This window comes from Homo sapiens, chromosome 11 (genome assembly GCF_000001405.40).
Source record: "Homo sapiens chromosome 11, GRCh38.p14 Primary Assembly".
In the NCBI taxonomy this organism is placed as follows: domain Eukaryota; kingdom Metazoa; phylum Chordata; class Mammalia; order Primates; family Hominidae; genus Homo; species Homo sapiens.
The window spans coordinates 26432477-26450117 of NC_000011.10; the positions used below are offsets into that span (position 1 = coordinate 26432477).

At 39.3% G+C, this 17641-nt stretch overlaps 1 protein-coding gene across 3 annotated transcripts in view; it reads left to right on the plus strand.

Annotated features, from left to right (window-relative positions):
* Positions 1 to 17641, plus strand: part of ANO3 (anoctamin 3) — a 474482-nt gene that overhangs the window by 243669 nt on the left and 213172 nt on the right. For all 3 annotated transcript variants that reach the window (NM_001313726.2, NM_031418.4, XM_047427399.1), the window contains 2 exons: positions 9442 to 9636; positions 11289 to 11360. In NM_001313726.2, the coding sequence (NP_001300655.1) occupies positions 9442 to 9636; positions 11289 to 11360 (267 nt within the window). The remainder of the gene's footprint in view (positions 1 to 9441; positions 9637 to 11288; positions 11361 to 17641) is intronic.

Sequence of the window (17641 nt, forward strand, 5' to 3'; positions counted from 1 at the left end):
GTTCCTATGTACATAATGGTATTGGCTAGGTCGTCTTTCAGGGTTTTTATAGTTTTGGATTTTGTGTTTAAGTTTTTAATCCATCTTGAGTTGATTTTTGTTTATGGTATAAGGAAGGGGTCCAGTTTCAATTTTCTGCTTATGGCTAGCCAGTTATCACAGCACCATTTATTGAATAGGGAGTCATTTCCCCATTGTGTGTTTTTGTCAGCTTTGTTGAAGATCAGATGGTTGTAGGTTTGTGCCCTAATTTCACATTCTCTATGCTGCTCCTTTGGTCTGTAAGTCTGTTTTTGTACTGGTATCATGCTACCTTGTTTACTGTAGTCCTGTAGTATAGTTTGAAGTCGGGTAACATGATGCCTCGAGGTTTATTCTTTTTGCTTAGGATTGCCTTGGCTATTTGGGCTCTTTTTTGGTACCATATGAATTTTAAAATAGTTTTTTTCTAATTATGTGAAGAATATCATTGGTAGTTTGATAGAATAGCACTGAGTCTGTAAATTTTTTTGTGAAGTATGGCCATTTCAATGATAATGATTCTTTCTATCCCTGAGCATGGAATGTTCTTGCATTTGTTTGTATTGTCTCTGATTTTGAGCAGTGTTTGGTAATTCTCGATGTAGAGATCTTTCACCTCTCTGGTTAGCTGTATTCCTAGGTATTTTTTGTGTGGCAATTGTGAAAGGGATTGTGTTCCTGATGGCTCTCGGCTTAGCTGGTGTTGGTGTATAGGAATGCTAGTGATTTTTGTATGTTGATTTTTTTATCCTGAAACTTTGCTAAAATTGTTTATCAGCTCTAAGAGCTTTGGGTCTGAGACTATGGAGTTTTCTACGTATACAATCATGTCATCAGCAGACAGGGAAAATATGACTTCCTCTCTTCTATTTCAGTTCCCTTTCTTTCTTTCTCTCTTGCCTGATTGTTTTGGCCAGGACTTCCAATACTATGTTGAGTAGGAGTGGTGAGAGAGGGCATCCTTGCCTTGTGCTTGTTTTCAAGGGGGAATACTTTCAGCTTTTGCCAATTCAGTATGGTGTTGGCTGTGGGTTTGTCATAGATGGCTCTTGTTATTTTAAAGTATATTTCTTCAGTGCCTAGTTTATTGAGAGTTTTTAACATGAAGGAATATTGAATTTTATTGAAAGCCTTTCTGCATCTATTGAGATAATTTAAAAAAATGTGATTTTTGTCTTTAGCTCTGTTTATGTGATGAGTCTTATTTATTGATTTGCATGTTGAACCAACCTTGAATCCCAGGTATAAAGCCTACTTAATCATGGTAGATTAGCTTTCTGATGTGCTGCTGCATTCAGTTTGCATGGACTTTGTTGAGGATTTTTGCATCAATGTTCATCAAGGATATTGGCCTGAAGTTATCCTTTTTGTTATGCCTCTACCAGATTTTGGTATCAGAATGATGCTGATCTCACAGAATGAGTTGGAGAGGAGTCCTTCCTCCTCAATTTTTTGATAGTTTCAGTAGGAATGCTATCAGCTCTTCTTTATCCATCTGGTACAATGTGGTTGTGAATCCATCTGATTCTGGGGTTTTTTTGGTTGTTAGGTGATTATTGATTCAATTTTGTAGTATTGGTCTGTTCAGGAAATCAGTCGTTCTGTTGATGCAGGTCTGTTCAGGGAATCAATTTTTTCTTGATTCAGTCTTGGGAGGGTGTATGTGTCCCCTCTTATTCATCTCTTCTAGGTTTTCCAGTTTGTGTGCCTAGAGGTGTTCATTAATACTCTCTGATGGTTACTTTTATTCCTGTGGGGTCGGTATTTCTGTGTAACATTCCCTTTCTCATTTCTGATTGTGTTTACATGAATCATCTCTCTTTTCTTCTTTATTAGTCTAGCTATTGGCCTATGTACATCATTAATTTTTTCAAAAAACAAACTCCTGGATTCGTTGATCTTTTGAATGATTTGTTATCTCTCGTTCTTCAGTTTACCTCTGGTTTTGGTTATTTCTTGTCTTCTGCTAGCTTTGGGGTTGGTTTACTCTTGCTTCTCTAGTTCTTTTAGTTGTGATGTTAGGTTGTTAATTTGGGATCTTTCTAACTTATTGATGTGGGCATTTAGTGCTATAAATTTCCCTTCTAACACTGCCTGAGCTGTGTCCCAGATATTCTGACATGTTGTATCTTTGTTCTCAGTAGTTTCAAAGAACTTCCTGATATCTGCCTTAATTTCACTTACCTAAAAGTCACTCAGGAAAATGGTTGTTTAATTTTCATGTAATTGCATGGTTTTGAGCAATTTTTTAAGTCTTCATTTTTATTTTTATTGTGCTGTGACCCAAGAGTGTGTTTGGTATCATTTTGGTTCTTATGCATTTGCTGAGGGTTGTTATGTCAGTGGGGTGGTCGATTTTAAAGTATGTGCCATATAGTGATGAGAAGAATGTACATTCTGTTGTTTTGGGGTGGAGAGTTCTGTAAAGATCTGTCAGATCCATTTGGTCCAATGTTGAGTTCAGGTCCTGAATATCTTTGTTAATTTTCTGCCTTAATGATCTAATACTGTCAGGGTAGTGTTAAAGACTCCCACTATTATTGTATGGGAGTTGAAGTCTCTTTGTAGGTCTCTAAGAACTTGCTTTATGAATCTGGGCGCTCCTATTTTGGGTGCATAAATATTTAGGATATTTAGGTCTTGTGGAATTGAATTCTTTACCATTATGTAATGCACTTCTTTGTCTTTTTTGATCCGGATATGAAATGCTTGGTTGAAGATATTTTTCTTTAAGAATGTGAATACAGGCCCCAATCTCTTCTGGCTTGCAGGGTTTCTTCTGAAAGGTTCACTGTTGGCCTGATGGAGTTCCCTTTGTAGGTGACCTGCCCTTTCTCCCTAGCTGCCTTTAACATTCTTTCATTTCAACCTTGGAAAATCTGATGATTATGTTTCTTGGAGATGGTCTTGTGTAGAATCTTTCAGGTGTTCTCAGTATTTCCTGCATTTGACTATTGGTCTCTCTAGCAAGGTTGGGGAGATTTTCATGGACAATACCCTGAAATATGTTTTCCTCATCCCTTTTAGGGATTCCAGTGATTCATAGATTTGGTCTCTTGACATAATCCCACATTTATCAGAGGTTTTGTTCACTCTTTTTTATTCTTTGTTCTTTACTTTTGTCTGACTGTCTTCTTTAAGTCTTCAGGTTCTGACATCCTTTTCTCAGCTTGGTCTGTTCTACTGTTAATACTTGCTGCTGCATTGTGAAATTATTGCAGTGTTTTTTTCAGCTCTATTAGATCAGTTAGGTTCTTTTTTACACCAGCTCTTTCACCTGTTAACTTCTGTATCATTTTATTATGATTCTTAGTTTCCTGGATTGGGTTTTGCCATTCTCCTAAATCTTGATGATCTTTGTTCTTGTTCATATTCTAAATTCTATTTCTGTCATTTCAGTCAACTCAACCTGGTTAACAACCCTTGTTGGAGAACTAGTTTAGTTGTTTGAGAGGTAAAACACCCTGACCACTTGAGTTGCTAGAGTTCTTGCATTGGTTCTTTCTTATGTGTGTGTGTGATTTTTCCTTTAACTGCTAGGCTGCCTCTGATTGCAATGGTCATGTGGGGGCAGGGAGGTTGTGCTGAAGTCCCAGGTCAGGCAGTCCTGTTCAGTGAGGAGAAGCGAGGACTGGGATCTGCGTTGAGAACAGTCTGACCACTTTTCCAGTAGATGGGTGCTCTGTGCTGAGGGACCAGACCAGCCACTGTTCCCGTGGATTCTCCAGAACTGGAGACAGCAAGGGCTAGTGCTGTGAGAGAGCAAAGATGGTAACCTGCCCCTCACACCAGGAGCTTTGTCCCAGGGAGTTACAGAGCTGCTACTGGCTCAAAAGTCCCAGCAGGGGGTGGACCCAGTGAGGAGATACTGGATCAGGGACCCACATAACCAACAGTCTGGCCATTTTTCCATAAGTCTGCTCCAATATGTTTGAGGGTCTGCTCCAGTCTCTAATCACCTCCAATTTTCCAGTACCTGAAGGTATCAACAGTGAAGCCTGCAAAACAGTAAAGATGGTGGCCTGCCCCTCCCTCTGGCAGCTCCATCCTAGGGAGGTATGGACCTGCTGCCAGCCCCAACACACTGGCAGGGGTGGCTGGGGACCTTGGTCAGGAGGTCCTACCCAGTGAGGAGGAGTAGGATTGGGGACCTGCATAACAAAGCAGTCTGGCCACTTCTTCATAGTGCTGGGTTGGGGGTCCACTCCAGCCTCTTGTTGCCTTGCACTCTCCAAAACTCGAAGGCAACAATAGCTAAGACTGTGAAAGAACAAAGATGGCAGTCCTCCCCTCTCTCTGGGAGTTCTGTCTCAGGGAGCTTTGGAACAGTTGCTGACTGGAAAACACTGGCAGGGGTGGTTATAGACCTCAGTTAGGAGATTCGTCCGGTGGTGGAAAAAGCAGTCTGGTTGCTTCTTTGTAGAACTGCTCCAGTATTCCGGGGGACAGCTTCAGTCCCTAATCACCTTGGATTCCCCAGAGCCAGAGGGCATCAACAGCTAAGTCTGCCAAACAGCAAAGATAGCAGCCTACCCCTCCCTCTGGGAGCTCCGTCTCAGGGAGGTGTAACAGTGATACCTGTGGCAGGCTGGGGTTCCAAGCCAGTGGGTCTTATCCTGCGAGGTGCTGTGAAAGAAGGGCCTGCAGACCATCACTGCTCAGCCCCCTGGACTCAGCTTCTTTCCTAGGGGTATGTACAAGGGTCTAACCTCCCACTTTGCTGGAGTTGCAGCCACTTTTGCCAGGAAGCCTGGGCATCAAAAGTTCCTGGGGCTCCACGTGTGCCCAAGTGGCTGCTCTGCCGAGACTCCACATAGCTCTGCCTGTCAGAATGAAGGCCCTGTTGGAGTGGGTTCACAAGGGGATCTTCTAACCTGAGGGTTGCAAATATCCATGAGAGAAGAGTGGGTCCCCAAGGTCACACATTCACTCACTGCTTCCCTGAGAGTAGGAGGCTCCCCTGGCTCTGTGTCACTCAGGGGTGGGTAGTCAGATAGTCATCCTGTCTTGATTTTCTCCATTCTCCATTGGTCAGCTTGTTTTCTTGATGAATCTCAATGCACGTACCTGGGTACTTCAGTTGTAGGTGCTGTATTTATTACCCCTTCTATTTCTTTCCACGAGAGTGGGCACACTAGCTAATTGGCTGTCTTGGCCAGCCCCTCCATAGGTAGTTTTTCAACCCACATCTTTCTCCACCCCTTTAGTAGTCTGCAGTGTCTATTCTTCCCATGTTTATGTTCATGTATGCTCAGTGTTTAGCTCCCACTTATAAGTGAGAACATACATAAGTCTGATTTAAACACATACACACACGTAACTCATGTATGAGTATTATCACAAAAATCCTAATAAAAATATTGGGAATTAGAATTTAACATATTTAAAACAATTAATCAAGACAAAGTATGTTTTGTTTTTGATTTCTGGGAATGAAAAGAGGATTTAATTTTAGAAAATCCATTAATGGAATTCAACATATTAAGATAGCTAAGGAATAAAATTATATAAACTTTGAAAAAATTCAACACACTACTGAACAAAAAAATAATAAACTGGAAAGTGAGTAGTACATTCTTAACTTGAAAAAATATTTATACCTCAGTGCTAAAGCCAGTATTTTACTCAATTGTTTAAAATAATCCAATTGATTATTTATAATTTCAATACAGTGGGAAAGAAACTCGCATTTACAATAGCCAAAAGAGAGCGGGAGCTAACCAATATGCAAAACTTATATAAAGGAAAGTTTTTAAAACACCTGACCAAAAGCATGAACTATAAAACAATCACAGGATAGATTTTGTCAAAATTAAGAACTTCTGCTTTTTAGAAGACACTAGTAAGATAATGAAAATATAGGCTACAGACTAAGAGAAAATATTTACAGGTCACCTAGCTGACAGCAGTACTTACCCCCAAAGTGATTATAGATTCAATGGAATCCCTATCATAATCACAGCTGCCGGCCGGGTGCAGTGGCTCATGCCTATAATCCCAGCACTTTAGGAGGCTGAGGCAGGTGGATCACCTGAGGTCAGGAGTTCAAGACCAGCCTGGCCAACATGGTGAAATCCCATCTCTACTAAAAATACAAAAAAAAAAAAAAAAGAAAAAAAAAAAAAAAGAAAATAGCCAGGCATGGTGGCGGGCACCTGCAATCCCAGCTACTCGGGGGGCTGGGGCAGGAAAGTGGCTTGAATCCAAGGGGCAGAGGTTGCAGTGAGCTGAGATCGCACCACTGCACTCCAAGCTGAGGAACAAGAGCAAAACTCTGTCTCAAAAAAAAAAAAAAAATCAATCATAGCTGCCTTTTTTGCATGAATTGACAAGTTGATCCTTAAATTTATATAGAAATACAAAAGACTAAGAATAGCCAAAGCAATCTTGAAAAGAGAGAACAAAAGTAAAGAACTCAGATTTTCTGGTTTTAAAACTTACTGCGAAGCTACAATGCTAAAGACGTTGTGGTTTTGGCATAGGAATGGACATATAGATTGGTGGGTTAGAATTGAGAGTTCAGAAATGAACCCATAAATTTGTGGATAATTGATTGTAGACAAGGGTGCCAAGACAAGTCGATGGCATTTTCAACAACTTGTATGGGAACAACTGGATATCCACATGGAAAAGAATAAAGTTGGAGCCTACCTTCACACCATGTACAAATTAGCTACAACTGGATTATAACCTAAACTTAAGAGCTAAAAGTATAAAACTCTTAGAAGAAAACATAGGAGTAAATCTTCATGACCTTGAATTAGATAATGGTTTCATAGATACAGCACCTAAAGCACAAACAACTAAAGAAAAAAAATAGATAAATTGAACTTTATCAAAATTAAAAGCATTGTGTTTCCAAGAACACAATCATTAAAGTGCAAAGACAACTCATGCAGTGGGAGAAAATAGGCAAATGCATGGAGGCAAGAAATTAGGTTAGTAGTTTCCAGAGACTGAGCTGAAGAGGAAATGGGGATCGGCTGCGAATAGGTATGATGTTTCTTTTTGGAGGAATAATAAAAGCGTTTTAAAGCCACATAGAGTGATGTTTGCACGACTCTGTGCATATACTAAAAAGAGCTAAACTGTATACTTAAAGGAATCGATTTTATGGTATATGATTATATATCAATAAAGCCTTTAAAAACTTTTAACTCCGAAAAGTCTGGGATAGATCTGTATGTGTTGAGATGGAAAAAATACCTAAGACATAATATATAATGTGACAAACTATAATTTCATTTTTGTAAGAAAACTATTTTTATACATAGTTACATATATGAATACATAGACAAAGACCAATAAACTGATAACATTCATTTCATTTAGAGAAGAGACTGGAATTTAAGAATCAGAGTAAAACAAATTTTAATTTTTAATTTTATTTACTTCTATAATTTAAAACCTTTTAAAATGAGAACATTTTATGTAATTTGCTTGTATAAAATACTTAAATATCCTCAAAGTGAATAAATAAAGGCACCAACCACAAAACCTGACATGTAATAGGCACGCCACAATAAAAAGTCCCTTTGCCTCATGTGGTGTGAAGTCCAAACACAACACTGGGTGTGGGCGGAGGGCGGGGGTGGTTCATGGTTTTATTCACATTATACAGACAGCATACATAGCCAACATCTCAACTCAGGTGTCAATAAGAAACTTTTTAGGGAGTGATTCACGATCAAGCAGCTTTGTACAATTTACCATATGTATTCGTCTGTTTTCACATTGATAAGGTATTTCTTTATAAATTATTCAGTCTCAGGTAATAATGAACTACCTGAGACTGGATAATTTATAAAGAAAAGTATTTATTTGGCTCATGTGTCATAGAGCTTGCATTCTAGGGAGGTATACAGAAATAAAACAAAATATATAATATGAATGACAGGGGGTGTTTAGGAAAAAATAAGCAAAAGAGTAGTGTTAAAAGCTAAATTCTTTTTAAATGATGGGAAATGACCTGGAACTGGTAAACGAAAATGACAGTAATAAAGAAGACTAGAAGAATAGTTTAATGACAGGAATTTGAATACTGATTTTTAGAGAGGAAACATGAAGAATGAACTGAGACAGGCAATTAGGTACAATAAGGATATCTACTCCACCTCAAGTAAAGTTGATAAGAAGTTGTGGAAGAGAAAAGAGCCTCCACTGGAGGCGGCTGCAAGAGAAGCAGTGTCACTGTGGGGATATGGTGCAGTGCCAGGTTTGGGTAAAATTATGGAGGGAAATGGGTGATCCACAGAAAAATCTAAGGAGGATATTAAGTGGATTTTCTGATGTTTTATGTGAGTTCCCAGGGACATAGTGAGAGAGTCTGAGTGGGAGATGTTGGAAATGAGAGTGTCCAGAGACACTGAGGTTTAGAGTGCCAAGGGAGAGGAGTGACCTGGGATTGACATTATGGGATGAAGAGGAATGGAGACAGGGAAGTGGAGCCATTCTTTCCTGGTTCACACAGTGTAGGGGGACTTCTGCTTTTGGAGGACTAGTTTGGTTGAAGGGCATTCTGACTTCTGGCAGATGAGACTCTGTGCATGAGGGAAGTAGCTCTAACACTAAGCACAGGGTTGGTGTCTTGATCCCTGCTTGCTGCCCAGTTTTTTTTTTTTTTTTTTTTTTTTTTTTTGAGACGGAGTCTCGCTCTGTCGCCCAGGCTGGAGTGCAGTGGCGGGATCTCGGCTCACTGCAAGCTCCGCCTCCCGGGTTCACGCCATTCTCCTGCCTCAGCCTCCCAAGTAGCTGGGACTACAGGCGCCCGCCACTACGCCCGGCTAATTTTTTGTATTTTTAGTAGAGACGGGGTTTCACCGTTTTAGCCGGGATGGTCTCGATCTCCTGACCTTGTGATCCGCCCGCCTCGGCCTCCCAAAGTGCTGGGATTACAGGCGTGAGCCACTGCGCCCGGCCTGCTGCCCAGTTTTTATACTATGTTATGCTATCTCTTTCCAGCCTCTAAGTCACTGTTAGGACATTATGTATGTGTTTAAGGGAGAGGAGGGCGTAGAAAGAAGGGCCCCATTTAGTAATTTCAATGGTTATATATTAGGTTTTATGTATTTTGCTATTTGAAAGCCTAAATCATAAGGTTTATTCAAAGAGTATCCAAATAATTGTTGTCATAATTCCCCAAATGAACTTAAACATCAGTTTCTTTTTTCACAGAACTTTTAAAGGAGTGGTGAAAGCTCAAACAGGAAACAGAGATGTTTATGTCTCAAAACTATTTAACAAAAATCTCAAACACTCTTCTTGACAAAACATAAACAAGACTAACTCAATTATTTCTAATATCTAAGTGGCACTTTTCAATAGTTCATTCCTGAAACAGGTATCACAAGAATTAAAACTTTTTATTGACCTCTACTGATTGATTTTTTATTGCTAAAACTCAACATTTTGGATTTGCAGGTATGAATATAAGCAAGAGTGAGATAACAAAAGAAACTTCGTTAAAACCGTCTCGGAGATCCCTGCCTTGCCTCGCCCAGAGCTACGCTTACTCAAAGAGCTTGAGCCAGTCTACTTCCCTCTTCCAGTCAACCGAGAGTGAATCTCAGGCTCCCACATCTATAACCTTAATCTCCACTGACAAAGCAGAGCAAGGTGAGCAGCAATTCCTATTTTCTTGTTCAATTTATAAAAACTACGTGTTTTCCAAACACTCCTTTCCTTCCTTTTTCCATTGGACCAGTTTTATAGAGCTCTTCAGGAAGGAGGCTGGCATAGAAAGGAGACCAGTACACCATGCCATTTGTTGGCCAGATGTGTTTTATCTCTTCCTTGCCTTGAAGGTGGCCAATCCCATGGAGTCTGGACCTAATATTTGTTTGCAGTGGAAGTCCCAGCTACATGAATCACTGGTACATTTGGCCACTGTTTGCATCCCTCTTGTTGATGAGTAACATTCCTGGCGAGAACTTATAACCAGTATTCAAATAGAAAATGTCATCAGTAATAAACTGTTTTCTAAAAATAAAGGCTGAAGACTTTACAACTGACAATAAAGCATTGAAGATTTGGTGGCATAAAGATTTAGTTGGACAAGTGTTGGCAACCCAAGGCTGGTGTGCAAGGGCTGAATTTTAGAGACATACCAGCAAGGTGCCACACAAAGAAACGCTGTGGCTACCCTTAGGCACTCTTCTACACACATTTGCCCACTAAGACACACACTATCCCTTTAGACAACTCCCTTTTATAAGAGTTAAGAATTTAAATACAACCAAGCTCCCTGTTGTGCAGTGGATAGGGTATGTTTTTCTTGTTCTTTTTTTAGAGATGGAGTCTTGCTCTGTCGCCCAGGCTGGAGTGCAGTGGGACGATGTCGGCTCACTGTAACGTCTGCCTCCCGGGTTCAAGTGATTCTCTTGCCTCAGCCTCCTGAGTACTGGGATTACAGGCACACACCACCATGCCTGGCTAATTTTTGTATTTTTAGTAGAGACTGGGTTTCATCATGTTTGTCAGGTTGGTCTCAAACTCCTGACCTTGTGATCCACCTGCCTCGGCCTCCCAAAGTCCTGGGATTACAGGTGTGAGCCACTGCACCCAGCCATGTTTTTATTTTTCAATCCTTTTGTTGCTTTTTCTTATAAGAATGCAGTCCCTTATGATTCCATATGGTTGCTTCTTTTTCTGGATAACTAAAAAATATCAAAATTATTGTTTCAATACTATTGTGAAATCACTACATATTGTAGTTAGCTTACAAATATGTCTACTATGTAAAGTGGCAAACTGTTCAAGAAGATGAAGATATTAAAACATAATATAGGTGTTTCTTTTTTCCCTTATTGAAAGTGAAATTTTAGGCCAGGCATGATGGCTCACGACTGTAATCCCAGCACTTTGGGAGGCCAAAGTGGGCAGATCACTTGAGGCCAGGAGTTCGAGACCAGCCTGGCCAAGATGGTGAAACCCTGTCTCTACTAAAAATACAAAAGTTAGCCAGGCATGATGGTGCACACCTATAGTCCCAGCAACTCAGGAGGCTGAGGCACGAGAATCGCTTGAACCCGGGAGGCGGAGGTTGCAGTGAGCCGAGATCATGCCATTGCACTCCAGCCTGAGTGACAGCGAGACTCCGTTTCTTAAAAAACGGAAAAAACAGTGACATTTTAAATAACTAATTTTAATTCATTAAGTTAAGAAATTTCATCATGTTTGGCCATCATTTGTCCATCTATAACCATGGTTATTTTTCTGTTGTTATGCTTTTATTTCCCAAAACTACAAAGTATCTTATTTTATTTCAGTTAATACTGAGGAGAATAAAAACGACTCTGTGCTGAGATGTTCATTTGCTGACCTCAGCGATTTTTGTTTGGGTAAGTTGATAATCAGTATTTACCTACTCCTTTCCCTCTCTCCAAAGGTAAGCTGTGTTCTTCTAAAAAAAACTAGCATTTTTTTTTTAAGAAAAAGTTCATGTTTGGTTTTTAACGTAATAGGTGAGTATAATATTCTGAGGTTAAGAAATTAAGAAATGTATAGTTTGGAATTCAAATATATAGGAGGATTTATGATGAGCAACAGTCTCATAATAACAAATAACAATTTTTGCCATTATTCTGAAAATTTCAATTTTTTAAGAACATATAGTCTACTATTTCAAGATCTATAACATTTTGACACTCAGAATTTAGAATGTTAGTAACACTCAGAGATTCTATCCTGGCCCATCATTAGTGGATACTATAAATTTTATTTATTTTTCCTATAACAGTGACAAGTTTACTCAATCTCCTTTTTTGCCTTTTGATGTTGTCACATAAGATTTGCTTCAGTTGAGCAAGCTTTGCATTCAAATCTGTAGCTTGCCCATAAACAATTCTTTTGAATTGGGTTTTCATTTTCATGAATTAAATAGAAATAAAATAAAGCCAGAATTAATCAAAAAGTGATACTAATGTGTCAACACTTATTTTGCAACCTCAGTGCCTTAACACATAACCTGAAGAAATGAAGCCCTGAGTTTTCAGTAGTAGATACATCGGTGGCCAGGCCTCAGTGCCTACATAAGGAGTTCTCAACTCTGGTTACACATTCAGATCACTGGAGGGCTTTTCAAAACTCCTGGATCACAGTTCCAGAAAATCAGTTTTAATTGGTCTGAGGAGTGAAATTAGTATACGTACTTTTAACAAACTGCCCAGTAAACATTTAATATGGCCAGGATAAAGAATTTCTGGCCTAAAAACTGTATCTTGGTTTTTCTCTACAGGCATTGTTAAATCACTCGTCATAACTTTTAAAACTATGAATTTTGGTATTTATAATAGCATTCTGAATGACTGCAAATTAGTCACATTTCTTATAATAATTTTTGTTTTATGTGTGGCACAGAAACAGTGCTGGCTTATTAAGTTTTTTAATTAAAGCCAGCAACCAGCAGGTTCATTTCATATACAGAATCAAAAAGAGCATCTCATCAGAAAAAAATTCACTCAGAATACAAAGGCCTTTCCTGTAGTAATTAATTCTGAAGATTACTACAAGCTGAGAAATTTTATCCAAAATTCTTGAGACCAGAAGTATTTCAGATTTCAATTTTTTTGATTTTAGAATATTTGTATTATATACTTACTCGCTGAGCATCCCAAATCTGAAAATCTGAAATCTGAAGTGCTCCAGTGAGCATTTCCATTGAGCATCATTTCAACACTCAAAAAGTTTCAGATTTTGGAGCATTTTGGATTTGGGAAGCTGAAACTATATTATCAGTTATTTTCTAATTTAAAAAATAAGAACAAAAAACAAACCTGAAGTTTTTCTTGTCCAAAATATCCATACAGGTGGGAAAGTTTGCAAAGCACCCTTTACTAACCTGTCCTCCAAATTAGAACCAATGTATAGTTTAACAATCACCCTATTAAAAAACCTTCCATTTAATTCCTTGCATTTTATTTTTGATGGCTTGCCATTCCAAATATTAAAAAGCACTTTCTCTGAATGCTTAACATAATTGGATGCTCGTAACTTTATGATTCTTTTCTCATCACTTTTGTGTGTCTCGGTTATTTGTTCCAGCTGACCTGTGTTTATATCTCTCCAGGCACTGTATCTCGTATTCACTATTTTAGCATCCCCCAGCATCAATCTGTCATTTATTCAAGTTAGAAAGACATCACAGCTTCTGCAGTTAAAATACATACAAATGATGAGGTGTTTGCCTTTATAATGAAGGTGAGGTACAGTCTCCAGCTAACTGTGTAGTATCACTAAGCATTTCAGGAATCCAACTGGATGTAACACCTGGCTGGGAAATACTCTTTTAGAGTTAGATGCATATCTATGAGTGTTTTTTATTATTTTATTTTATTATTATTATTATTATTTTTGAGACAGAGTGTTTCTCTCTTGCGCAGGCTGGAGTGCAGTGGTGCGATCTCAGCTCACTGCAACCTCTGCCTGCCAGGTTCAAGCGATTCTCCTGCCTCAGCCTCCCGAGTAGCTGGGACTACAGGCACTCACCACCACACCCAGCTAATTTTTGTATTTTTAGTAGAGATGGGGTTTCACCATGTTGGCCAGGCTGGTCTCAAACTCCCAACCTCAGGCAATCCACCCACCTTGGCCTACCAAAGTGCTGGGATTACGGGCATGAGCCACATAATATAAGTGTTTTAATTGCCTTTGAAAAGAAGACGCCCGGCCTAATATGACTGTTTTAATCATCTTTGAAAAGAAATCAAGTAAAATAATGTCAAATATACCAAGAGTACAGTTAAATAAAGCATGAGTAAACATTTTGGCAATACATGTTCTCTTTTAAATACAAAGCAGTTACATTCTCTAAGTTTGCCTTTAGCGTGCAGAGTACCAGGTTCCTGCATTGGGCTGATTATTGCATGGGAATTTCCTGACTAATGCATCTTATTAATGGCTTTTTTACAGTTAACCACTTTGAGCTGCCCCATGAGAATATTAATGCTGAGGCAGACTTAACTGCATGTGGTCAGTGTTTCATTGAGGATTGATATTTCTCATTGTTCCAAAGGAGAACCATGAAGGAAAAAATATTAATGGCTTTGTTGATTCAGAGAAGGACATTTCTACTAAGGCTCCCTAACAGGATGGGTACATATCATGAAAAAAATGTTATTTTTCCAGCCAGCCATTGGTCAAATCTTTATTCTTACATCCACTAGCTGTGTAACTGTAGTATATTATTTAACCTCTCTGAGCTTTAGTGATTTCACTAGTAAATTGGGATCAATGAGCCATTCTTAGTAGGACTTGAAGTAAATAAAAAGGTATAACTTCATCATAGCTCCTAGCACATCATGGGGGTTCAACAAATATTTGTTCATTGCTTTATTCAGTCACTCACTAAGCTTATCTTTCACTCCAAATTCTGCTGGGCCCAGAGAGATCTACAATAAACAGCTGTTTCTGTGATCATCAAAAGTGATTTTAGGCTGGGTGTGGTGGCTCCCACCTGTAATACCAGCGCTTTGGGAGGCTGAGGCAGGAGGACTGCTTAAGCCCAGGAGTTTAAGACCAGCATTAGCAAAGTGGTGAGACCCTGTTTCTACAAAAAGAAAATAATTAGTCAAGCACGGTGGCACGACTGTAGTCCCAGCTACGCAGGAGGCTGAGATGGGAGTATCACTTGAGCCCAGGAGTTGGAGGCTACAGTGAGCTATGATCACACCCCTGCACTGCAGCCTGGGCAACAGAGTGGGACTCTGCCTCAAAAAAAAAAAAAAAAAAAAAAGGTGGGGGGGGGTACTTTTATGGCATAATGATGGCACGATGGATAAACAATAATTTACTGGACTCCTTATTATTATACACTTTACCTGTCTTATCTCACTTAATTTTCATAACAACCCTTTTAGTTAGGTAGCACTTTTTTACAGATGAGGAAGCTTATTCACCAAGAGAGAAAATAATTTGCCAAATGTCACATAGCTAGCCAATGGAGAGCTGAGATTTCAACCAAGGAAGGCTTGATCTCTAACCTTCTCTTTTAATCACCACACTAGCCACAAAGGCCTTAAGGTAAAAAGTGGTTAGTGATTTCCAAAGACACTAGTTCTGTAAGATGTTAGTAAGTTTCAGGCAGAAAGTACAAGGTGAAGATAAAGCTGCATGTTAAAATATATTTGGGTAATGATTAGTTAGAAAGCTAATTGAGTCCAAAATGAGTTTGATTTTTTTTTTGTTTTCTTCTTCATTTTTTTATTGACATCACATAACCTTTAATTCTGTTTTACATAAAGCAGCTCACAAAGCCAGAGCAGCATCCCATATATCCCCACACACTCACAGAATTATTCTCAAAAGTGCTGACCCTTGTAGCAGTGAATTTGAAATCCTGGTGTGGCAATAATTTTCTTTATTAATCTTGGAAGCCCCACTACCATTGCCTACGTTTTTTTCTTCTCAGTATGCTGGAAAATGACAAGGACACAGTAATCCACGTTAACAAGTGCCTGATGCTTGATTCTTCCCATGCCCATGTGGCTATAAACTCAGGTAACTTAGAAATGAAATATTTTAGGGCCGGGTGCAGTGGCTCATGCCTGTAATCCCAGCACTTTGGGAGGCTGAGGCAGGTGGATCACCTGAGGTCGGGAGTTCGAGACCAGCCTGACCAACATGGAGAAACCCCATCTTTACTAAAAATACAAAATTAGCCGGGTGTGGTGGCACATGCCTGTAATCCCAGCTACTAGGGAGGCTGAGGCAGGAGAATCGCTTGAACCCAGGAGGCGGAGGTTGCGGTGAGCCGAGATCGTGCCACTGCACTCCAGCCTGGGCAACAAAAGCGTAACTCCGTCTCAAAAAAAAAAAAAAAAGAAAGAAATATTTAGGGCTCACTAAGACCAGCATAATTTGAGTCCAACCAACCCAAACACACATCTGTCTAATCTTGTTATGAAATCAACATTTTGCTAATGTTATAAAATGACTTCCTCAGGAATGGGTTCATATTAGAGTTCTGAAACATTTATTTGCTTTCTACAAACATAATAGTTTAGCTCAGTGGAATACTCATTGGTCTATTTCTTTAAATAGTTATGGTCAAAGGAGTACATGGTGATTTTGCTTTCATTCTATAACTTTCATTCTATAGATAATATCCACTAATTCCCATTATTTTTTCCTAGAAGCATTTTATATGAAGATGGCATAAGAAATAACTTTCTTCTAATATTCCTAAGCTACTTAAGATTACAGAAATGAGGGAATTACACTGAAGGAACATATTTTTCAGTTATGACAGTCTCACAGTCACTGTAAATCTTGTCAATTGTTTATTGAACACATAAGGTCCTCTTGCCTCAATTTTCAAAATATATTCAGAATCTGACTACTGCTTACCACATTCACTGCTGCTCCTGGGTCCGTCTGCTACCTTCTGTTGGTACGCTGGTACAATAACTTCCGAACAGATCTCCCTGCTCAAAATCTTGCCTCCTTATAGATGATTTTCCACACAGGACTCACAGAAAGCTTTAATAAAAGGAAGATTAAATCCCATCATTTCTGTGCTCCTGTCTCTCCAGGTTTCCCATTACATTTAAAACACAAACTCACTCTGGTATTCAGAGACCTCACAGAATCTGGGTCTGGTCTCTCTAGGCCATTTCCTGATGCTTCCCTTTTCTCACGAGCTGCAGACAGCTCAACCATCTTGTGTTCCTTGTTCACAATAAATATGTGCTTATCCTAGGGCTCTACACTGAAATAAGCTAGGTTCACATCAGACTTACTTTCTGTCTCCTAATCTTGATGGATTTTTCTTCATAATACTTATTACCTAAAGTTATTTATTTAGGTTATTCACCCCAATTCTGTGTTTCCAGAAGACAGAAACTGTCAATCTTGCTGCCACCTTTAGCACCAGAATCAGGAATAGTACCTGACCCATAGTAGGTGCTTAAAGAATACTTTTAGGATTAGGACAGACAAATGGATGAAAGAGCATTCCCTCTCTCTCTCTGTCTGTCTGTCTCTCTCTCTCTCTCACACACACACACACACACACACACACACACACGCACGCACATCTCTTTGGAGAGTCTGCTATAGAATACACCCTGTTTTTGCTCTCTGTGATGTCATTTATCACTGTGAGTTTTCTCACTAGTTATGAGTTAGTGCTTTGTTAATTTTCTCACTGAGGACCTGATCTAAATATTATTCTCTTTTGTATTTAAATTGTGATGATAGACCTCTATATAGAGTATTTAAAGGCTTAAAACAAAACTCTTCTTAAGTAGTAGAATTGCCTTTTTTTTTTTTCTTTTGAGATGGTATTTTGCTGTTGTTGCCCAGGCTGGAGGAGTGCAGTGGCACGATCTCGGCTCACTGCAACCTCTGCCTCGGGTTCAAGCAATTCTCCTGCCTCAGCCTCCCGAGTAGCTGGGATTACAGGTGCCTACCACCACATCCGGCTAATTTTTGGTATTTTTAGTAGAGATGGGGTTTTACCATGTTGGGCAGGCTGGTCTCAAACTCCTGACCTCAGGCAATCCGCCCAGCTCAGCCTCCCAAAGCGCTGGGATTTCAGGGGTGAGCCACTGTGCCCAGCTGTAGAATTGCCTTTCTAACATCAATCTTACTGAAGTCCTCCCTAATACATAGTTGTTTAGAT